The sequence below is a fragment of the Homo sapiens genome, chromosome 5 (assembly GCF_000001405.40).
Source record: "Homo sapiens chromosome 5, GRCh38.p14 Primary Assembly".
Lineage (NCBI taxonomy): Eukaryota > Metazoa > Chordata > Mammalia > Primates > Hominidae > Homo > Homo sapiens.
In genome coordinates, this window is record NC_000005.10 from 112,958,794 (window position 1) to 112,980,990 (window position 22,197).

A 22,197-nucleotide genomic window follows, 5' to 3' on the forward strand; every position below is an offset into this window, starting at 1 on the left:
TTTATTATTGTAAATCAGAGTGTTCTCAACTTCTCTAAGTGTTGGTGGCCATTCTTGTTTGTGCCAAATTAGCAGGGTCTAAGCTTCTGTCTCTATTTCCAAGGTTACCGTCCTGCCAATCATCTTTTGCTCTCATCACTTTTTTTTAATGCTTCTTTGCTTTCCTAATAACCATGTATTCCAAATGTAGGTACAGACCTCTCCCTTGACTCCCCCAAAACATAGTGAGAGCAGACTTAGTGTGTTAGTTAGGACTCTTGGTTGCAAGAGACAAAAATTCTATTCAAACTGGTTTTAAAGAACAACAACAATGACAAAAAAGAGAATGTATTGGCTAAGGTAATGAAAGATCCAGGGAATATATGTAGTTTGAGGCTCGGTTGGATTCTAGGGCTCAAACAGTAAGATAAGAAATTACTCCATTACTCAGAGTAATGGAGTTTGAAAAAGAAAATAGAAAAGAAACAGAAAGTGGCTTCTCTTCATCTCTTTCTCCTGCTTTCTTCTGTTTTGGCTTCATTCTTATGCAGGCTTTCCTGAGTGGTAGCAGAGAAAGCACTGGAATCCCCAGGCTTATGTTCCTAGCACTTTAGCAAGCCCAACAGAAAGAAGAAGCATTTCTTTTCCAATCAGTTAAGAAGACATCCTCATGTTGGGTCTTTGGCAATTTGGCTTGGGTTCCTAGCTTTTTTTTTTTTTTTTTTTAATGGAGTCTCACTCTGTCACCCAGGCTGGAGTGCAGCAGTGTGATCTCTATAGAATGAATAAGACTTAGTATTTGTTTTTTGTTTTGTTTTGTTTTGTTTTTTTTGAGACGGAGTCTTGCTCTGTCGCCCAGGCTGGAGTGCAATGGCACGATCTCGGCTCACTGCAACCTCCGCCTCCTGGGTTCAAGTGATTCTCCAGCCTCAGCCTCCTGAGTAGCTGGGATTACAGGTGTGTGCCACCACGCCCAGCTAATGTTTGTTTGTTTTTTTAATAGAGACGGGGTTTTGCCACGTTGGCCAGGCTGGTCTCGAACTATAATTTTTTGTTGTTTGTTTGCTTGAGACAGAGTCTCACCCTGCCACCAAGCTGGAGTGCAGTGGCAGGATCTCGGCTTACCGCAACCTCCAACTCCCTGGTTCAAGTGATTCTCCAGCCTCAGCCTCCCGAGTAGCTGGGATTACAGACACGTGCCACCATGCCCAGCTAATTTTTGTTAGAGACGGGGTTTCGCCATGTTGGCCAGGCTGGTCTTGAACTCCTGACCTTCGGTGATTCACCTGCCTTGGCCTCCTAAAGTGCTAGGATTACAGGCGTGAGTCATCATGCCTGGCCTCCTGGCTTATTTCTTAAATAATCATGGTGACAAGTGCTCTTGGAGGTTGGAGTGAGGGTGGAGGGGTTAGAAATGAGGAATCAAACCCACTCAGAGTACATGAATGAGAATGGGGGAGGAGTTGCTCCTGAAGGAAAAACAGCTTTATGCTTCCAGAGAGAAAATGAATGCTGAGAAGTTTTTTTGTTTGTTTGGTTTTTGTTTTTTGTTTTTTAAAGAGGCAGATGCTCACTGCACTTGGACTTTAGCAAAGAAAATTACTTTTCAGAAAAGGAAAAAGAATCCCCCTTAAAATGAAAGCATGTTGATATTCTGGCTCCTAGATCCATCTGTGCAGGGGCCTGCTCTTCCAGCTGTCACCCTCCTTAGGCCTCTGGTGCTAGGAGCATCTTTGAAATCATAGATGACAGATGGGGATTCTCTGACCTGGAGCCCTACCCAGGCTGCAGGCCCTCAACTATAGCCTTTTTTTTTTTTTTTTCCTAGAAAGAGGAAATCCTTCCTGCCTGCTTCTTCTCTCTTCTTCCAACATCATAATCCTCTTTCTGCAGTGCCTCAACTCTGCTCAGAGGAAGATAAAGCTTCGCATCATTCTTCAGAGCTGTTTACCTTCAATTGTCTCAAACTCTTCTGTCTGTAATAGTTTTGGAGCTTTAATTTTGTATGCTAAAAGGGCCTATTAAAATGTTTTTATCCAAAGAAAAGTGCACTCTCAAGCCTTAACTGAGAACTACCTTTGCCTCTACATGAGGAGAGGATTACTTATGTCAGTTTGGACTACTGTCTACATATAACAGAAAAAAACCAGTATCATCGCTTAAACAAAGTAGACATTTATTTCTCTCTCTCGCTCAGTAAAAGAATTCTAGAAATAGGCACTCCAGAGCTGGTTTAGTGGCTCCAAGGTCATCAGGGACCAGAGAGTTCTATTTTGCTACTCTGCTCAGGTTACCGATTGCTGGCGACAGGAAGGGACAAAGAGGAAGGGGTGGAAAAGAGGCTTCTGCTTTCTTTTAACAACTTCCCAAGGGTTCTAGACCACCGTTATGCTTGTATCTCCTTGGCCAAATGCAGTTTCACATCTAGCAGCATATGGCCGTGAGACAGACAAGGACATGTAGGCTTTTAAATGAGGCCTTTAACTGAGAGGAGGGAGGAGATTGGACATTGGAGAGGGCAGCTCCCAGTGATGGTGTCTGTCATATTGTTGACTTGCCAGTCAAGGGCTCTGTAATACTGACTGGCCTGGAACCCACTGTGCTGCTTTGATCTTGGAGGACCAGGATGCCTTTTCACTACCCTCTTTGCTGCTCTCAAGCCCTTATTTCAGCTGATATTTTGGTAGTCTATCTATGGCTCCTAAGATTTAGTCAATATAATTTTAGGATCATATCAGAAAATAGATTCAGGCAGTATGTATGAGAGCTCTGAAAAAATAGGTTTCAGTAATTTTAAGCAGTTGCTCATAGTTCCTATGTAAAGCTAAGAGGAAGGCATGTAAAAGTCATAGAAAAGTTTTCATTTGGAATATACTGTAAATATTGAACACCCAGACAGAAAATGGTTATAAAAGGGCAACATGAAGGAACCTGTGGTAATTAAATGTTCTGTGTCTTGACTGCATTGATTTCAATATCTTGGTTGTGATACTGTTTTGCAAGATGTTACCATTGCGGAAAACTGGGTAAAGTATATACCAAGTTTCTATTTTGAGAAAATTCATATCCAGTTGTAGGAAGATCTCTCTTCTACAATTTTCTCAAAATAGAAAGTTTAATTTTACAAAAAGTGAACGGCATATATTTTTTAAATATATGAGTCTGCTGTGTTGCCAGGCTGGAATGCAGTGGCTATTCACAGGCTGGACCATAGCTCACTGAAGCCTTGGACTCCTGGGCTCAAGTGATTCCCCTGAGTAGCTGGGACAGGAGTGTGCCACTCCATCAGCTAACAGCATTTTATTGTATTTAAATTATATCTCAATGAAGTTTTTTTTTATTTTAATTTTTTTTGAAGATGAAACCTTGGCCAGGCGTGGTGGCTCACGTATGTAATCCCAGCACTTTGGGAGGCCAAGGCGGGTGGATCACCTGAGGTCAGGAGTTCGAGACCAGCCTGGCCAACATGGTAAAACCCTGTTTCTCCTAAAACTACAAAAACTAGCTGGGCATGGTGGTGGGTGCCTGTAAGCCTGTAATCCCAGCTACTTGGGAGGCGGAGGCATGAGAATTGCTTGAACCCAGGAGGCAGAGGTTTCAGTGAGCTAAGATCATGCCACTGCTTTCCAGCCTGGGCGACAGAGCGAGACTCTGTCTCAAAAAAAAAAAAAAAGATGAAATATTGCCGTCCCCCAGGCTAAAGTGCAGGGGTACAGTCATAGCGTAAGTGCTCAGTCTCGGACTACAATCATGTGCCATCACTCCCAGCTAATCAAGTTTTTTAAAAAGTCAATTGCATTTTGAATTTGGGCATTTAATAATGGTATTTTGGTTTGCAGTTTCAACTGTTATCATCAATTGTTTTTCTCTCAACTACTCAAGAAACAAGAAGAGGAAAAGTCCATTGACTTCTCAATAGGGTCTAGATTTTTTAAAAAACTTTTTATTCTAACTACTTGAAACTGCACCCAACTTCAATAATTACCATCCTTTTGCCTTATTTTATCTATTTGCCCTGTAATTCCCCCCAACGGATCATTTTAAAGCAAATCCCAGATATCCTGTTATTTTACCAACAAATAAGGATAATTTTTAAACTGGGTAATCCCATGCAAGAGGAACAAAAAAGATACAATTCCATAAATTCAAGTTAATGAAACTAGCAATTACCAAATGATAAAAATTTATGTCAGTGATTCCTGGAGATAGGAAAGTAAGGAGATGGGTAGACACAGAGAAGGGGCTACTAAACAAGGACACAGAGAGTATGGCAGGCAGAATAATGTCCTCCAAAGATGTCCACGTCCTAATCCCTGGAATCTCTGAATGTGTTAATAGCAAAGGGGAATTAAGATTGAAGATGGAATTAAAGTTGCTAATCAGCTGATTTTAAGATAGGGAGAAGACCATGGGATCATGAATTATCCAGGAGGGCCCAATATAATCACAGGGGTTCTTAAAAGTGAAAGAAGACCAGAAGGAGTGAATCAGAGGGAGGTGGAATGATGGAAAAGCTCAGAGATACAACGTCAGAAGGAATCACTTGTCATTGCTGCTTGGAAGATGGGGGAAGGGGAGCATGAGCTGAGGAAGTAGACGGCCTCTGAAAGCTGGAAAAAACAAGGATACTGATTGTTCCTTATAGCCTTCACTAGGGAGCACAGCCTTGCCAACACCTTGATTTTAGCCCAGTGAGATCTGTGTTGGGCTGCTAACCTACAGAACTGTGAGAACTTGTTTGTTTGTTTTTTGAGAGAGTCTTACTGTGTTGCCCAGGGTGGAGTGCAGTGGTGCAATCTTGGCTCACTGCAACCTCTGCCTCCCAGGTTCAAGCGATTCTCCTACCTCAGCCTCCCAAGTAGCAGGGATTACAGGTATGTGCCACCATGCCCGGCTAATTTTTTATATTTTTTGTAGAGATGGGATTTTGCCATGTTGGCCAGGCTGGTCTCGAACTCCTGACCTCAAGTAATCTGTCCGCCTTGGCCTCCCAAAGTGCTGGGATTACAGGCATGAGCCACTGCACTTGGCCATACGTTTGTATTGTTTAAGCCATCAAGTCTGTGGTAATTTGTTATAACAGCAATAGAAAACTAATTACAGAGTGAGATTGTATCACTGTTTGGCAGTGCTGTGATGACTAAAAGAAGTAACTCTAAGGGGGAGGTTTCGTTGTGTGAGAAAGGGTTTCTTCAGAGTTCTGAGTCATTTAACCAGAAAACACTGCCATTTCCCAGTTCCATTACAGGACTCCTAAGAAGTGGAGTCCTATGTATGTCAAAAGCTGCAGTTTTAAAGTCATGTTCTTGTACTAAAAATATTACTCAGCAGTATGATGCAAAATTTAAAAATGGAAAAAAGGAATGAACACCCTCTGCTGGTAGCAGATAAAACATACTTGGCTTCCTTGTGTATTCTGGAAATAGTTAGGTCTACCCAGGTGGGGCCTCTGGAGAGTGCCACACAACTGGGGACTTAGGAGGTACATGAAGACCAGCCAGCACAGAGTTATGGGGCCAAACTTAGCTGATGAGTTTACCAGTGAGTGATTGGAGAGGTGCTTCTTTGTATTTCTTTGGGTTGGTTTGTTCATCATTGTTTTTAACAAAACAACTTCTTTTAAAGAATTCATTGTAAGAGGCGCTATAAGACAAACTCCTTTTTCCGGTTAAGATGCTTACAAGGTCATTAAGAAAATAAACACCAGCCTTGGCCAGCCATGGTGGCTCACGCCTGTAATCCCAGCACTTTGAGAAGCCGAGGTGGGTGGATCACCCTAGGTCAGGAGTTTGAGACCAGCCTAACCAATATGGTGAAACCCTATCTCTACTAAGAATACAAAAATCAGCCTGGCATGGTGGCATGTGCCTGTAGTCCCAGCTACTCAGGAGGCTGAGACAGGAGAATCACTTGAACCCAGGAGGAGGAGGTTGCAGTGAGCTGAGATCGCGCCACCACACTCCAGCCTGGGTGACAGTGAGACACCATCTCAAAAAAAAAAAAAAAGAAAAGAAAGAAAAGCCAGCCTTTAGGATACTTACTCAACAACAAAATTTATTCAAAGATTCAACATAATAATTAGTGTGTATTAATAACTTAGTTTTGAAATTTTAGTCAATGACAGGAAATTAATAAGCAGATTCTTAAGAACCGTTATAGAAATTGTATTTCTGATTTTTAAAGTTAAGATTTTTTTTTAAAGTTCAAAAATAATTTTACTTTTTCTAATTTGTTCCTCATGCAAAAGAAGGTTGTTAATCACTAGCTTAGAGCTTTTTTTGTTTTTTTTTTCGAGATGGAGTCTTGCTCTGTCACCCAGGCTAGAGTGCAGTGGCGCGATCTCGGCTCACTGCAACCTCTGACTCCCAAGTTCAGGCTATTCTCATGCCTCAGCCTCCTGAGTAGCTGAGATTACAGGCATGTGCCACCACGCCTGGCTAATTTTTATGTTTTTAGTAGAGTTGGGGTTTCACCATGTTGGTAAGGCTGGTCTCGAACTCCTGACCTCGTGATCTGCCTGCCTCGGCCTCCCAAAGTGCTGGGATTACAGGTGTGAGCCACCGTGCTCGGCCGCTTAGAACTTTTTTACTTGGGTCTGACAATTCCATTTGTCCCCTTTCAACTGCCTCCTCCCATTCTGGGCAAATACATCAGTGCATGGGAGTTAGACATGACAGGGAACAGGAAGGGGAGGGCAAAAGAAAAGAGGCATAGTCTAGAGTTCAAGAGTTGTTTTATGTGCAGTGTACATTTATACTTACTATGTTTATATTTCACATACATTTATATATTATTATACACTTATTATATTTATATTTGTTTTATATATCACATATATTTGTTTAACATATACACATAGAGCAAGCGAGCTCTGTATTAGGACTCTGGTGAAAGTAACAAAAACCTAACTGAGCTAGAATGAGTTCATCTTTTCCGACATGTTAGGAAGATGAGATTCACTCTTAGAAAGCAGAGATTCACTCTGATTTCATTTTATTTTGAGCCACGGTCTTGCTTTGTTGTCCAGGCTGGAGTACAGTGTCACTATCATGGCCCCCTGCATCCTTGACCTCCCAGGCTCAAGCAGTCCTCTCTCCTCAGCCTTTCAAGTAGCTGGGACCACAGGCGCCACCATGCCTAGCTAATCTTTTTGGGTTTTTGTAGAGATGGGGTCTCCCTATGTTGCTCGGGCTGGTCTCGAACTCATAGTTACAAGCAATCCCCCTGCCTCGTCCTCTCAAAGAGCAGGGATAACAGGCGTGAGCCACCACGTCTGGCCTCTTTCTGTTTTTTAAAAAGTAATTCTCTCTTACTCATTTTGAGATTTTGCGTCTCATCACCTCCTTCCTAGTCACCTCAGCACATATTTGGTGATAACTCATTCATTTTCCTATTCTTTGGTTAACAAATGTTTATAGAGGTCATAGATATGACTGAGGTATTCTAAGCACTGGGGAATTAGTGGATAAATTAGAAAAGATCCCTGCTTTTTTGTAACATATAGTATAATGGGGGAGAGGCATTGAAAATGTTTCAAATTGAAGAAGCATAGTATGAAGGAAACAAAGACATGTGATAGGTAATGACAGTAGAAACTATTTATTTATTTATTTATTTATTTATTTAGAGACTGAGTCTCATTCTGTCACCCAGGCTGGAGTGCGGTGATGCAATCTCAGCTCAGTGCAACCTGTGCCTCCTGGGTTCCAGTGAGTCTCCTGCCTCAGCCTCCCGAGTATCTGGGACTATACGCACGTGCCACCACACCCGGCTAATTTTTTTTTTTTTTTTAGTAGAGACAGGGTTTCACCATGTTGGCCATGAACTCCTGACCTCAGGTGATCCACCTGCCTCGGCCTCCTGAAGTGCTGGCATTACATGTGTGAGCCACCACACCCAGTCGAGACTATTTAAATAGAGCGGCCAGGGAAGGTTTTTTGAAGAGGTGACATTTAACCCATACATAAAGGTGAAAAGGAGGGGATCATGGAAGGTAGGTGCAACATTCCAGGCAGTGGGAATGGTATTTGGAAAGAGCTTGGGGTATTTGACGAATTTCAAAAAGACTAATATGGCTAGAGTGTAGCAGAGACAGATGAAGATGGGACATAGGATGAAGCTAAAGTGACATTTAGTGCTCCGTCGTGTAAGTTCTCTTAGATAGCAAACTAGAGTTTACTCTGAGGGTCATGAAAAATTTTAAGCAGGAGAGTGATGTGATTAAATTTATGTCATTTTTTCCTTTATTTTTGTAGAGACAGGGTCTTATAAAGATAAGGCCTTGCTATGTTGCTCAGGCCAGACTGGGCTCAAGGGACTTCCTGAGTAGCTGGGACTAGAGGCACATGCCACCATGCCCATCATTCAAATTTGGGTTTTAAGATGATCACAGGCCAGCTGCAGTGGTTCGTGTCTGTAATCCCAGCACTTTGGGAGGCCAAGGCAGGAGGATTACTTGAGCCCAGGAGTTTGAGACAAGTCTAGGCAACATAGTAAGACTGTCTCTACAAAAAATATGAAAATTAGGATGGGCATGGTGGCTCATGCCTGTAATCCCAGCACTTTGGGAGGCCAAGGTGGGCAGATCACCAGAGGTCAGGAGTTCAAGATGAGCCTGGCTAACATGGTGAAAACCCATTTCTGCTAAAAATATAAATTATTAATTTTAATACAGATTAAAATTAGCTGGGCGTGGTGGTGCATGCCTGTAATCCCAGCTACTTGGGAGGCTGAAACAGGAGAACTGCTTGAACTCGGGAGGCGGAGGTTACAGTGAGCGGAGATCAGGCCATTGCACTCCAGCTTGGGCGACAAGAAAGAAGCTCCATCTCAAAACAAAACAAATAAACAAACAAAAACAAAAATTAGCAAGGCATGGTGGCACATGCCTGTAGTCCAAACTACTTGAGAGGCTGAGGCAGGAGGATCACTTGAGCTCAAGGGTGTGAGGCTGCTGTGAGCTATGATCACACCACTGCACTTTAGCCTGGGCAAGAGAGTGGGAACTTGACTCTAAAAAAATTACAATAAATAAATAAATAAAAGATTATTACTCTTTTTTGCTCAGGCTGGAGTTCAGTGATGCAATCATAGCTCACTGTAACCTTGAACTCCTGGGCTCAAGGGATCCTCCTGCCTCAGCCTCTGGAGTAGCTGGGAGTATGAGTGTACACCACTATGCATGGGTTTTTTTTTGTTTTTTCCTTTTTACTTTTGTAGATACGGGATCTTACTATATTGCTCAGGCTGGTTTCTAACTCCTTCCTGTCCAGGAGCGATCCCCCAACCTCAGCTTCCTTAAATGTAGGGATTATAGGAGTAAGCCACCATCCCCAGCCTGATCACTCTTGCTGCTCTGTGGAGGACAGATTAAAATGGAGCATGGGTGCAAGACAGGAGACCAGTTAGAAGCCAGTTGAAGTAGTCTAAGTGAGAAGTGCTGTGGCCTGGACTAAGGTGGGGAAAGTTAAGGTGGAGGAAATGGGGATGGATCTTAGATATGTTTTGGTGGTAGACTAGTTAGGAATTGCTGATGTATTGGGCATAGTGATATATGAGAAAAACAGGAATCAAGATTCACTCTTAGGTTTTCTGATTTGAGCTACTGGATGGATAGAGGAACATATAAATTAAAATGATTTAGGCTCAAATAACAGCTTCGGCTTAAGAAATATTTGGTTCATGTAAGTTCAGAGGTAGGATAGGCTTTGGGTTTCACTTAGTTCTTGAGGATTCCAGCTCCTGGTTAAAAACCTACGTGTGGTTTTTCAGGTCTGTCTGATTGCAGGTGATTACAAAGCCTCTACCTGGCAGCCCTCATGGAGGAAAGCTGCTCTCCCTTCCACAGACTTGGTGCACAGCTAGTGTGCTGCAGGCTCTGATACAGTCACGGGTCACATAACAGCATTTCAACCAACAACATATTCGAAGGTGTTGGTTCCATAAGATTATTATACCATATTTTGACTGTGCCTTTTTTGTGTTTAGATATTTTTAGATCTATAAAGCCTTACCATTGTATTACAATTGCCTATAGTATTCAGTATAGTAACATACTGTACAAGTTTGTAGCCTGGGAGCAATAGGCTGTACTATATAGCCTAGGTAGGTTATGCCATCTATGTTTGTACCAGTATACTCTATAATGTTCACACAATGACAAAATCGCCCAACAATGCATTTCTCAGAATGTATCCTGTTCTGAAGCAACTCATGACTGTAAATATTTGCATTCCTATCCCTGGTGCCTCCTTCATTCCTAGGTTTCTTTATCTGAGGCCTTGTGCAGAGGATTTTTTTTTTTTTCTTTTGAGAGAGGGTCTGGCTCTGTCACCCAGGCTGTAGTACAGTGGTACAATCTCAGCTCACTGCAGCCTTGGCTTCCCGGGCTCAAGCACTCCTTCCACCTCAGCCTCCTGAATAGCTGGGACTACAGGTGGATGCCACCATGCCAGGCTAATTTTTCTGTAGTTTTTGTAGAGACAAGGTTTTGCCATGTTGCCTAGGCTGGTCTCGAACTCAGTAGCTCAAGCAAACTGCCAGCCTTGGCCTCCCAAAGTGTTGGGATTACAGGCGTGAGCCACTGTGCCTGGCTGGGGAGAGGGTTCTTTAGGCTTCTCTGCTGAGGCCTCCTTATGGGGAGGGGAGGGGAAACCTTGACATTCTTTTCCAGGTTGCCTAGGTACTCAGTACTTTTCCACTCTTAGCCTTTCCCCCTTGCCTTCCCCTACTCCACCTCAGAGTCCATAAAACTGCTGGAGCTTTTTCTTCAGGGATCCCTTAACAGTGATATGACTCCATGACCCCCTACATCCGTGCTGACTCATGTGACCTGCAGCTAGTGCGCAGTTCCATGGGGGAAATGGAACAGAAACTGTGGGTACTTTCTCTGTTTCTTGTTTGTATCATTGCAGTAAACGCTACTCTCATTTTTGGCTCGTTGGTCTAATTGGCTACTCTGATACCTGTTAGCTCAGCTAGTGCTCTCTGTCTCTCTCCCAGCCCGTTTCCTGACAATTCTGGGTCCATTTTCCTACAGATCTTTCAGCTTTGCCCCATTCCACACATTAGCTTCAACCTCAAAGTGATAGTGAGTAGTAGTATATCAGTCACTGAGTACTGGCTGTAGAAGTTCCAGACATCATATCCTGACCTGATGACATCCAATGAAAGAAGAGAGACTTTTTCATCACGAAGTTTTAAGCAAGAGTTCTATGGTATACACTGACTGGACTATGTAGGTATGTACCTGTCCAGAGAATGGGTACATTTCCAGGGAATGGAGTGTGGTGTTTGATTTACCAACCAGATTTTGGCCTTTGAGCCAAAAGTGTTTCTGGCTTCCCCAGAGTCACATGTGCTGTGTGAGGGAAGCTAAGGGATACATGTCTTAATCAGGGTTCTGTTAGGAAAGAGTAAGGGGTGAATTCAGGGCCTGCTATTAATACATAATTTGCAGAGCCTGTTCCTCTCATGAAAATATAGAGCTCCTTATTCAAAAGGCAGGAAAAAAGTGTCACTAAAGGTGCTAGAAAGCCAGGCGAGGTGGCATACACTTATAGTATCAGTTACGCAGGAGGATTGCTGAGCCCAGGAGTTTAAGTCTGGCCTGGGCAACAAACTGAGACCTCATCTCTTAACTACAACAACAACAAAAATACTAGAATATAAAGGCTTTTTCTTTCTTTCACAGTTTCTCTCTTCACTTATGGTGTTTTTGATATTTAATGTCATTCTAAATAAAGATTAAAATTAAAATTAAGTAAAATTAAATTCATTCTAAGTAAAATTAAAATCATTACAAAGACTTTTTACCATCTTTATATTATGCAATGCTGGCTTTTTTTTTTTTTTTTCTTTTTTATTTTTTTTTTTGAGATGGAGTCTCGCTATGTCGCCAGGCTGAAGTGCAGAGATGCTATCTCAGCTCACTGCAATCTTTCCTCCCGGATTCAAGTGATTCTCCTGCCTCAGCCTCCCGAGTAGCTGAGATTACAGGCATGCACCACCACACCCAGCTAATTTTTGTATTTTTAGTAGAGACAGGGTTTCACCATATTGGCCAGGATGGTCTCGATTTCCTGACCTCATGATCTGCCCACCTCAGCCTCCCAAAGTGCTGGGATTACAGGTGTGAGCCACTGCGCCCAACCACAATTTTGGTTTTAAATGCAAATATAAGAACATTTAACTTGTACGTGGAATCACTGAAATTACATAATTCTTATTTCATACTTTGTACATGTATGATATATTTCATTGTTACCAGAACAGTCAAAATGCTGTACGAAAGTCAACTGTTTTTACGTCACTTCTTGATATGCACATACATATTCTACCACACTCTCTACCTTCTTATTGATGAGGAAAAAACTAAAAAGAAAAGGAAAAGATGGGTTGCTCGATCTTCCCCTTTCCTTCTATGTCATCATTTTCAGCATAAGGGGTTGGCTAAATCAGGAAAGCAATAGGAAAGGATATGATAGAGTTTCTTGGTTCTTTGTGTTTTTAGACTGCCATTGTCTTCTTGCATTAGAACAAGTTCTGATACACAGGAAGCTTGACCTCCTAGGGCTGACAGCGACCCCACCTACTCAGTTCCTATGTGCCTATGTTGTTCTTACTCTGAATCTTGCTGAACTTTCATGCATTGTGAGTTCAGTGAAATTCTATTTAAATAGGACAATGCAAATGCTATATGCAAATGGCATGGCAAAGAGTGAGTGGACATGCATATTGCACGTCTCGGCTCTGCTCATGCTCTATTGTCCCTCCAATTTTACTTACAAAACACAAGTTCAAAAACAAAATTGAGAATTTCAAGATGGTAACAGCAGAGCATTAAACCAAACATGGGGCCTTTCTGAGTGTAGGGTTCTGTGCAACTATACGGTTTATACATACACACACATGCAGCTGGCCCTGGGTAAATGAGTGCTGGGCATGCAAACAAGAATGACCACTACAACCTGCATTTACTGATTATGGAAAAGGGTTTGTGTGTAAAGAGAAAAAAAACCCAACAACAAAAAAACAAGATACTTTATGCAGCAAAAGTTTATTTTTTGCTCATGCAGAATCTGGAGCAAATGCTCCAGGGTAGCTCTCCTCCAAGCAGTACACTCAAGGGTCTGTGCTTTTTCCAGTGTGACTCCACTATCTAAAGAGTTCTTTGCTTTCAGCTGGGAAGAGAAAAGGGAGAAATAAAAATTATGTGAAAATTACATAGAGCATTTCAGGAGCTGTGCTTTGAAGTTGGGTATATCACGTTTATCTTCATTCCACTGGCCAGAACTCAATTGCGTTTTTCCATCTAAATGCAAGGAGGCCTGTGAATCCAGGAAGAGGAAACGGGATTGGTGAGTGACATGGTTTGGCTGTGTCCCCACCCAAATCTCATCTTGAATTGTAGCTTCCATAATTCCCATGTGTCATGGGAGGCACCTGGTGGGAGGTAATTGAATAATGGGGGTGGGTCTTTCCTGTGCTGTTCTCATGACAGTGAATAAATCTCACAAGACCTGATGGTTTTATATAGGGGAGTTCCCCTGCACATGCTCGTTTTGCCTGCTGCCATGTAAAATATGACTTTGCTCTTCCTTTGCCTTCTGCCATGATGTGAGGCCTCCCCAGCCATGTGGAACTGAGTCAATTAAACCTCTTTCCTTTATAAATTACCCAGTCTCGGGTATGTCTTTATTAGGAGTGTGAGAACGGACTAATACAGTCAGCATCTAGTAAGACTGCCATAGAGATCAAGGGAGATTTTTGTTTCTTGGTAGATGTTACTAAAACATATTATATGCTGTGGGAGATATTATACTAGAAAGAGTGTGGGACTAACAGAAGGGGCAATTATGTATTACTCTATAAACATTGAGTTGAACCATAAGAACTTTGTAGGGATGTGAAGAAGCTTTGACAGACTTAATTTAACCTCACTCTATTTAATTATTTATTTATTTTTATTTTTATTTTTTTTGAGTCAGAGTCTCGCTCTGTCGCCCAGGCTGGAATGCAGTGGTGTGATCTCTGCTCACTGCAAGCTCCGCCTCCTGGGTTCACGCCATTCTCCTGCCTCAGCCTCCCAAGTACCTGGGACCAAAGGCGTCTGCCACCACACCTGGCTAAGTTTTTGTATTTTCAGTAGAGACAGGGTTTCACCGTGTTAGCCAAGATGGTCTCGATCTCCCGACCTCATGATCCACCCGCCCTGGCCTCCCAAAGTGCTGGGATTACAGGCGACCTCACTCAATTTAAAAGGCCAATAAGCAAGTTAAATATTTTTTAGGATTCAGTGACAGCTTATTTTGTTGTGAGATTATTATATTTGAATATTATAGTATAATATGCTGTACAGGCATAAACAATAGTTTTTGTGTCATTCTCCCTAAGGCAGAATTCCTGCTATGAGTTTAGAACTGAATGCTAGTCCTGACTCAATTATATACTGTTGCTTAATCATTAATCTTTGAGTCATTTAATCTTTATAAGCCTCATTAATCTTTGTCTATTTCATGTAGTAATAAAGACTAAATGAGGCCAGGCACGGTGGCTCATGCCTGTAATCCCAGTGCTTTGGGAAGTTGAGGAAGGAGGATTGCTTGAGGCCAGGAGTTTAGGACTAACATAGGCAACCTAGTGAGACCCCTGTCTCTACAAAGTTTTTAAAAAAATAATTAGCCAGGCCTGGTGGTGCGCACTTGTATTCCTAGCTACTTGGGAGGGTGAGGTGGGAGACTGAGCCCAGGAGTGAGCTATGCCACTGCACTCCAGCCTGGGCAACAGAGTGGGATCTTGTTCCAAAAAAAAGACTAAATGAAATAGCATATTTTAAAACTATAAAGGTTTTAATCAACCTAATTATTTAAAAATCAAATCAGTATTATAATTTAAGAACCCTAGCATCTCCTGTTCTCCTGTTACCTCAACTCTAAGCTCCCCTTTGTCATTCTCAGCTGGGTCCTGTGAACAATTAGATGGAATTGAGGCCTTGGTGTCCCTATTCACTTTAACAGGGATGGCACTAGGTTCAAGAGGCTGAAGAAGAGACCCAGAGCCAGCAAATGAGGCATATGGTTTATTGAGAGGAACTTGCATACAGAGCGGTCCACTAGAGGTGAGCTGGACATGAGAACAACATCACCTGCAGAAAGCATGCAGTTTATATAGCATTTTCATTTTGCACCCTCTCCCTAACAGCTTCCACCTGACAACTTTCATTTAGCCCAAAACAAAGGGCCTAGCCCTCCTGTGCAGCCTGCATTCCACAGGGCTCAGATGTTCCTCATAGATAAGGAATGAATCTTGGTTGTAACTGCAAACTCATTCAGGTTGTCTGCCACACAGGGTCATTCCCCTGGGTCTGCTTACGTTACTGCTGTCAGGTGCCTCTACCATACAGTTGGCTTCTTTGGAAGTCATGGCTTGGGGGGCTGCTATAAGGGTTGCACTAGTCCAGCTCCTGGAAATCTGTGTGTGAGGAGGCAGTGGAGGGATGGGGCATGGGCAAGATAATATCTTGGACCACAGACATCTCAGAAACTCTTAATAAGGCAGATTGGTTTAACACCATGTGAGAGTTTGGGGACTTCCTGGCCTCTAAGAGCCCAAAAGGGGTTGTATAGCTGCCCCTAAACTGGGAGACTAGAAAGCTAGTAAGAAGAATTCCTCCAGGTGCTTCAGCAAGTGCTTGGTAACCTGCTTGTTTCTATTAATATACCATTGGCCCATGTGGGTGAGCACCACTTTGCCTTGAACTGTTGTTCCACTGCCATCATTTAGAATACTCTAAAAACTAGACTTGAGCTCTAAGTGAGACAACTAAGAAAACCACTATGGTGCCTCCCAGTCAGAGAAAAGACATTCAGTCAGAACAGGTAGAATGCACACCCAGCAAAATAGAACTGAAGGGGCTCACTCTTACCTTTACCAATCCATCCACTACACTGGCTGGAGGTCCAACTGCTAGTATCTGCATTTCTTTGCCGTAGGACTTTTTCTGGCCACCAGAGCCCATCTTGCTGCCCATGTAGCAGGCTAGAGTGCAGACCCCAGGAGCTGCCTTCAACCAATGAAGGAAGTTGGTATATAAATCCCCATCTCCCTCACCCCTTGAGTGGGATAACTCTGAGGTATATGTTTTATACTGGCCACCAGAGTTCTCCAGTGACAGTAAGCTCCAGTTAACCACAGTGCTAATTTCCTTGATAATAAACCTTTTGGCTTTCCTCCCCTCCTTGACTCACTTTCCTGCTCTCCTACCAATGTTTCCCAAGATCACCTCCCTCACAGGCTATCTGCACTCAAAATCTTGTCTCAGTGCCTGCTTCTTAGGAAATCTAAAATAAGACTTGGACTGTGCTGGGAGTACTGAATAAAGCAAATGGAATACTGCAGCCTGTGCTTCTGTACTGGACTCCCAGAATACATGAAGCTGTGCCTGGAAGCATTTTCTCTTTAGGGAATTTCATCAGCAGAAAGAATTACGTACAGATACTGATACCATGTGTTTCCAACCAACAGCTCAGCCAGATCATCCTACAGTGAAGCTCTCAGGAAACAAGTACCATCTACAAGGTGAGAGCTTCCAATTAGCTTTCAAGGCACTTGACTCCAGGTTAAGGCCTTACTCTTAAGTGTGAGTGAATAGTCAAGGACTACAGAGGCTTCTAATAGGATAGATGAGATCAAGATAATAGCAAAAAGCAGCTGAGAGGAATAAGACTACTCAGGGAGAAGAAAACGTCAAAATCTATTATTAATATCCTCAGAAGGATAAAATAAAATATACAAAGCAAGAATGTGACACCACAAGAAAGGGGCATTTGAAGAACAAAACAGAACTCTAAATAAGTAAAAACTCTGTAGTTGTCAGGAAGATAAATTTGAGGAATTCTCCAAGAAAGAGGGGAAAAAAAAGATGGAAAACGGGAGCAAAATAGATGGTGACGGGCCTCTTATGCCAAAGGAACTTGGGCTTGATCATACAGCAGAAACTGAAAAGATAACTTGTTCCTATCTGAGTAAAACAAAACAAAATGTAGGCAGTTGCACAGGCCAAGAATGGAGGCAGAGTCAGTGGTTAGGCAGCTCTCACTGTAGTATGGAGAAATGATGCAAAACTGAAGTACACAGTGGCATGTGACAAATTTAGACAAAAGATGGGAGATTAAATGGTAGAACAGACTAAACTTGTGACGGAGCAGGTGTGTGTGGGCCTGTGGGTCTGATGTAAGAGGAAAAAGAACAGATGGATCTAGTTTCTCCAAAGATCCCAAATGGATTGGTCTCCATTAAGCAAGACGAGGAATGAATAAGGACGAGCAGGTGGGGATTGCTTTGTGCAGAGGGTGGAATACAGATCAGAGTTCAGCTTAAATCAGTATTTTCTAAGATTTTGCTAGGTGCCAGATACTGAGATAAAGTCCTTGTCTTCATGTTTGGAACCAGGTGCCTAAGGAAGCACAGAGGAGAGCCACCTCCAAAATGGATACCCTCTCCAAGGGTTTGTAGTGAAAGAGGCACAGCTCTTGGCCTGGAGTTGGTGGGGGCTGCGATAAGTGCAAGATACTTGGTGACAGGAATCGCGAGCATACTCTTGTGTTGTACGGATTCTCAGGGTCGGCCCTGCAGAGGAAAGAGCTCAGTCACCGCGAGGTCCTGCACAACATGCCAAAGTCCCGGATATGTGTCCGGGGTCTACACCTAAGCCCCGACCCCTCTGAACTTCCCAGAAGCGCGCAGGAGGCATGGTGCGCATGCGTGTAGCCACCTCAAAGGCGGCGGGAAGTTGGTTTTCTGAGTAGCAACTGAGCAGCTTGAAGACGGATTGGAAGTAGCAGACCAATAAACAAACGTCTCATTGGCTTAGAGTGCTTAGAGTCCCAATTCTTCAGCTTCCCATTGGGCCTTTCAAGCGAGCAGGGGCGTGACTCCGGGGGCTCCGCCCCGAGCCTTGGCCCAGTCTTGGGGTCCAAGGCTGAGGGAGCGGGACGGAAGTGAGCGGGTCCCGCCCCTTCCCCTTCTCGTCTCCGTTGGAGTCGTCTCTGCCGCGGCTTCCTCGGCTGCCAGCTCTCCGGCGAGCCGGAGTCCTAGTGCCGTACCGTCAGTCCCCGGCCGCGCGGAGCCGGGATGCACTGTTCCTGCTGTGGGTCCTCATCATGGAGACCAAACGGGTGGAGATTCCCGGCAGCGTCCTGGACGATCTCTGCAGGTACCGCGCTACCCGACCCCCTTTCGCCCCCGTCGGGTTTTCTCAGTTTCGCGGACCCCCAGAGGCCTCTGGGTCTTCTTCCCCGCCCACGTCCATGTCCTCGCTTTCCGCTCCCGCCGCTGCTCGCTTTCCATCGTCGACCCTGCTCTCCGACGACACCGCCCCTCTTTCCGCCGCAGCCTCCCTGTTTCTCAAGGCCCTCCGTCCTTCCCCGCAGAACACCCGGAATTTCCTCATTTTTTAAGTTACTCAACTATTTTGCTTTCCCGCAGGCGTAGCCGCTTCGCCGGAGCCTGGGTCTTAGCGTTTTGCCGCCGCCGCCGCCTCCCTCTCCCATTGTTTTTTCTGCCTCTGTGACTTTTCCACGCCGTGCACCCCCTCCTCCCTGTGTCTCATTCCCCGATTCTGAAGGAAGACCCCCAGGGTAGTAATTTAAGGCTTAGGATCCCAGGTACGCGGACCTGCGCAAGGAGCAAATTTTCGGACTTATTCTGACGCCTGCGTGTTATTTGTCCGTGGCGTTCTCTGTAAATTCCTGTAAGGAATTACTTTTTTTTTCTCATCCCTGGACTTGTCTTTGGGGGAGAGAGGGAAAAAGTGTAGCGCTGCTTTTCTTTTTATCCTTAATAATCCTATTTTAAAGGAAATTCTCAACCGCGGGGTTTTAACTCAGGGTGTATACTTCAGATGAGAAATTTTCTGCATTCTTCCCCCTTGTCAACTCTGATTTCAGATAGCCAAACACGTGTAGGATACTTAAAAATGCTTATTTTCCGAAGGTAAAATTTGGAGTGCAGTGATACCCGGAGTTGTCGCCAAGTGTGTGTGGATTGTGATTACAAGTGATAACACCTTTTCGTTCACAGTTACTGTGTTTATGTTTTAAAAGGCAGGCTTTTAGTAGTTGTATCTCCTTCATGCAGTTTTTTTTAATGGAAAGTAAAGAACTGGTGTTTGTGGAGTTTTTTGGGGTTTTTTTTGTTTGTTTGTTTTTTTGTTTTTATTTTTTGAGACGGAGCCTCTTTCTTTTGCCCAGGCTGGTGTGCAGTGGTGCGGTCTTGGCTCACTGCAACCTCTGCCTTCCGGATTCAAACGAGTCTCTGCCTCAGCCTCCCTAGCAGCTGGGATTACAGGCACCCGCCACCACACCCGGCTAATTTTTGTATTTTTAGTAGAGACGGGATTTCACCATCTTGGCCGTGCTGGTCTCGAACTTCTGACCTCGTGATCCACCCGCCTCGGCCTCCCAAAGTGCTGGGATTACAGGCGTGAGCCATCGCGCCCGGCCTGGAGTTTCTACTGTGCACCAGGCACTACCTTTACATGTATTGTTTTATTTAATCCTCAGTCAGCCGTGTTTGGTAGGTGCAGTTAGTATATTTCCATTTTCATCTGCGCAAACAGATTCAGGAACTTTGTAATTTACATAAGGTCACATTCATCCTAATTCACAAAATCAAGATTTCACACCTATTCCTTTTTCTTTCCAGTGCCTGTGCTTTTTCTCTCATACCAAGGAGAAGTAATAAGCCTAACGTTTTAAACCTCACAAAAGTACATACAGAAAAGTAAATAGCCTAATTTTGCAACTAATACAAATGGCGCTGTACTTCTTTGGTGATGGTAGATTTATAATTTTTGAAGTATGGTAGATTCAAATGAACCACTGAAAAGGCATTTAGTTTCTTGTCCCAAATAAAAAAAAAAAAAGGAAAAAGAAACTGAATTTGATATGTGTATGTGGGTTAATGACTAGACGCACATCAACCAATAGTGGGATTATGAGATTGTGATCTTTATTTTTTGTTTCCAATATTTTTTATGCATTTTATAGTTAGAAAAAAATTGAAGATAAGTATTTAGAAAGGTGATCAGTAATTAGCTGTGTGTTAATAGGGTTAAGAGTTGATTTAGAAAAAGATGTGGTAATCTTAAACATTTTACAGACATCAGAGCTAGTCTTCCTTCTAGTATTGGGGTTAATTTGCATATTATCTAGGATTACATCATTTAAATAAGTGATGTCAGCTGTTAACGATTTTATGTATGGAACCTATTCACAAAATAATTACGTTGTATTTTGTAAACAATATGTTAAGCACCTGTCAAGTGTTAAAGATAGTTGGTTTTCCAGTGAGTGTATTTAAGCTGTTAAACAAATATTTTTGAATGGAGTAACATTTTTTTCCTTTCAAGAAATTTCTTTTTGCAGTTACTGTTTTTGGCTGTATAAATAAGGATATGATATATTTAAAAATTAGGGCTGGCTGTAATAATGAAACCAAATAAACATTTCTCAAAACTTCAGATTTTAAAATAAATGCCATTTTCAAGTTAATATTTATAGCTTTGATTAATTGAAATATTTTTAATGTTACAGATTCAAGCTTTTCATTGTAGACTAAAACTTTTTTTTTACACTTAGAATTTGGTAAACTTCTGTAAAAATAAAGCTTAATTTGAGGTTAATTTTTCTGAACTTCTTTGCTCTCTTTTATGTACGTCTTGATTTATGAATTCAAGCTAGGTGCTTGTTTTTACTCCCTTCATTTTTTGCCCCAATTCTGTTGCTTATTATTAGTGTATATAGGAAGTTTTCTTTTGTGTTACTTTGTTTTTTGATAAATTACATGTTTCTGTTAAATCTTGCCTTTTGATGTGGAGAGCAGCAGACTTAAATTTTCAAAATGTGACTTTGTAACCTTTAGACTGCTCATAACCTAAGGCTGATGCTTTAGTATGTAACATTCTATTTATTGGAATATTGTGCAGCCATTCTAAGTTCCTCAGGCAATTAGCACACAGTAAACTGAGGGAAAATATTTGTGTGTTGAAAAGATGTACACAGTATACTGAGTGAAATACTTATTTAGTCCCTTGGTGCCTTTTGTGAAAACAAATTTTTAAGTGTGTGTGTGGGTGGGGAAGGGGTATATGTATTCGTATGCCGAAAGAATATGCGCCAAACTGATAACACTGGTTACTTTCTGAGTGGAGTAGAATTAGAGGAGAGGAAGGGAAGAGTTTGGTCTTAAAATATTCTAGTGAACAAAAAATGCTTTATAATTTAAAATGTATGTGTAAAGGTGAATCTGCAGCATTTTATGGTGATACTTGTTTTTGATGAACCATGATTTTTGATATTAAAACTCAAATACAGAGTTTTTCAGTACTGTTTAAACTAGCTTATTAAAGAATTGAAAAGCAAGTTTTTAAAGTAGAAACTGAAAAGTTGGTTGATTCAAATAAATGCTTAGAATTTTTTTAAAGCCCTTTTTAAGAGTTGGGTATAGTAAGGCCACACTAGTGTTAAAAGAAGAAAGGTATTTTCTGGCAACTAGTGTTGCTGCTATTTTGGTGATAGCGTAGGTTAATTAAATAATTTGTGCTCATCTTCAGCTAGCCGTGTTAGTGTTGAATTCAACCGGAACATTTTTCTACTAATTGCAATCCTTGTGCTAATGTCCTGTTTGTAGGAACACTGAGAAAATAACATTTCGTGTGATGCAGTTTTTTCCGTAACAAATTGTAATGGAAAGCATTTTATTTCAGCTATTACTATATACACGTCCATACACATATGTACACGTACTTTTGAACTTTAAAACAGATCAAAAGCATTCACAGAATGAACGCATTAAATGTTTAATTTTCGTACATCAGCTCTTATAAACTTAAGTCAACTTTTTACTATTAAAAATATGTAATCATGTACATGGTTTTGAAAATTAGAGTACAGACAGATTTATAAATGACAGGCAACAGTCTTAGTTTCTTTCCCTACCCTTTTCTATTCCTGTTGAGGCATTGACTTTTACTTGTTTTGTTTTGAGTTCTTCTGGTGGATACCTCATATTTTAAAATATACTTGTGCCAGTTTCTTGTTTTATCAACTTTCTATATTGAATTGAGGATTTGGTTCAATTTCGTAGATACTAGATGAGAGTTCAGTTTACCACACCCACTATTGCCCCCATCTTACTTCCAGTATGTCTCTATCAGTA

At 42.2% G+C, this 22,197-nt stretch overlaps 1 protein-coding gene and 1 long non-coding RNA gene across 6 annotated transcripts in view, besides 10 other annotated features; one reads left to right on the forward strand and one right to left on the reverse strand.

Annotated features, from left to right (window-relative positions):
- Positions 1,199–1,493: an enhancer, noted in NCBI's record as "tiled region #12983; HepG2 Activating DNase unmatched - State 8:EnhW". NCBI's record gives its function as "activates a minimal TATA promoter and a strong SV40 promoter by Sharpr-MPRA in HepG2 cells {active_cell/tissue: HepG2}" and the evidence as "EXISTENCE:reporter gene assay evidence [ECO:0000049][PMID:27701403]".
- Positions 10,942–11,021: an enhancer, noted in NCBI's record as "active region_22914". NCBI's record gives its function as "activates an Ori minimal core promoter by ATAC-STARR-seq in GM12878 lymphoblastoid cells {active_cell/tissue: GM12878}" and the evidence as "EXISTENCE:reporter gene assay evidence [ECO:0000049][PMID:35858748]".
- LOC105379126 (uncharacterized) lies at positions 13,018–15,992 on the reverse strand. The gene is made up of 2 exons (XR_948679.3): positions 15,905–15,992; positions 13,018–13,160 (listed from the first exon to the last, which is right to left on the reverse strand). It is a non-coding gene; the product is annotated as an uncharacterized LOC105379126 (long non-coding RNA).
- Positions 17,496–17,545: an enhancer, noted in NCBI's record as "active region_22915". NCBI's record gives its function as "activates an Ori minimal core promoter by ATAC-STARR-seq in GM12878 lymphoblastoid cells {active_cell/tissue: GM12878}" and the evidence as "EXISTENCE:reporter gene assay evidence [ECO:0000049][PMID:35858748]".
- Positions 17,576–17,655: an enhancer, noted in NCBI's record as "active region_22916". NCBI's record gives its function as "activates an Ori minimal core promoter by ATAC-STARR-seq in GM12878 lymphoblastoid cells {active_cell/tissue: GM12878}" and the evidence as "EXISTENCE:reporter gene assay evidence [ECO:0000049][PMID:35858748]".
- Positions 17,671–18,430: an enhancer, noted in NCBI's record as "NANOG-H3K27ac-H3K4me1 hESC enhancer chr5:112312161-112312920 (GRCh37/hg19 assembly coordinates)". NCBI's record gives its function as "activates a minimal SCP1, AML or CMV promoter by ChIP-STARR-seq in naive H9 embryonic stem cells {active_cell/tissue: H9 hESC(naive)}" and the evidence as "EXISTENCE:reporter gene assay evidence [ECO:0000049][PMID:30033119]".
- Positions 17,671–18,455: a biological region, named in NCBI's record as "NANOG-H3K27ac-H3K4me1 hESC enhancer GRCh37_chr5:112312161-112312920".
- Positions 17,966–18,015: an enhancer, noted in NCBI's record as "active region_22917". NCBI's record gives its function as "activates an Ori minimal core promoter by ATAC-STARR-seq in GM12878 lymphoblastoid cells {active_cell/tissue: GM12878}" and the evidence as "EXISTENCE:reporter gene assay evidence [ECO:0000049][PMID:35858748]".
- The window catches only part of DCP2 (decapping mRNA 2), a 45,398-nt gene continuing 41,205 nt past the window's right edge, over positions 18,005–22,197 (forward strand). For all 5 annotated transcript variants that reach the window (NR_038352.2, NM_152624.6, NM_001242377.2 and 2 more), the window contains exon 1: positions 18,005–18,193. Coding sequence is in view for 4 of the 5 variants with exons in the window: in NM_152624.6 (NP_689837.2) it covers positions 18,141–18,193 (53 nt within the window). In the remaining variant the exon portion in view is untranslated. The remainder of the gene's footprint in view (positions 18,194–22,197) is intronic.
- Positions 18,086–18,175: an enhancer, noted in NCBI's record as "active region_22918". NCBI's record gives its function as "activates an Ori minimal core promoter by ATAC-STARR-seq in GM12878 lymphoblastoid cells {active_cell/tissue: GM12878}" and the evidence as "EXISTENCE:reporter gene assay evidence [ECO:0000049][PMID:35858748]".
- Positions 18,186–18,235: an enhancer, noted in NCBI's record as "active region_22919". NCBI's record gives its function as "activates an Ori minimal core promoter by ATAC-STARR-seq in GM12878 lymphoblastoid cells {active_cell/tissue: GM12878}" and the evidence as "EXISTENCE:reporter gene assay evidence [ECO:0000049][PMID:35858748]".
- Positions 18,346–18,455: an enhancer, noted in NCBI's record as "active region_22920". NCBI's record gives its function as "activates an Ori minimal core promoter by ATAC-STARR-seq in GM12878 lymphoblastoid cells {active_cell/tissue: GM12878}" and the evidence as "EXISTENCE:reporter gene assay evidence [ECO:0000049][PMID:35858748]".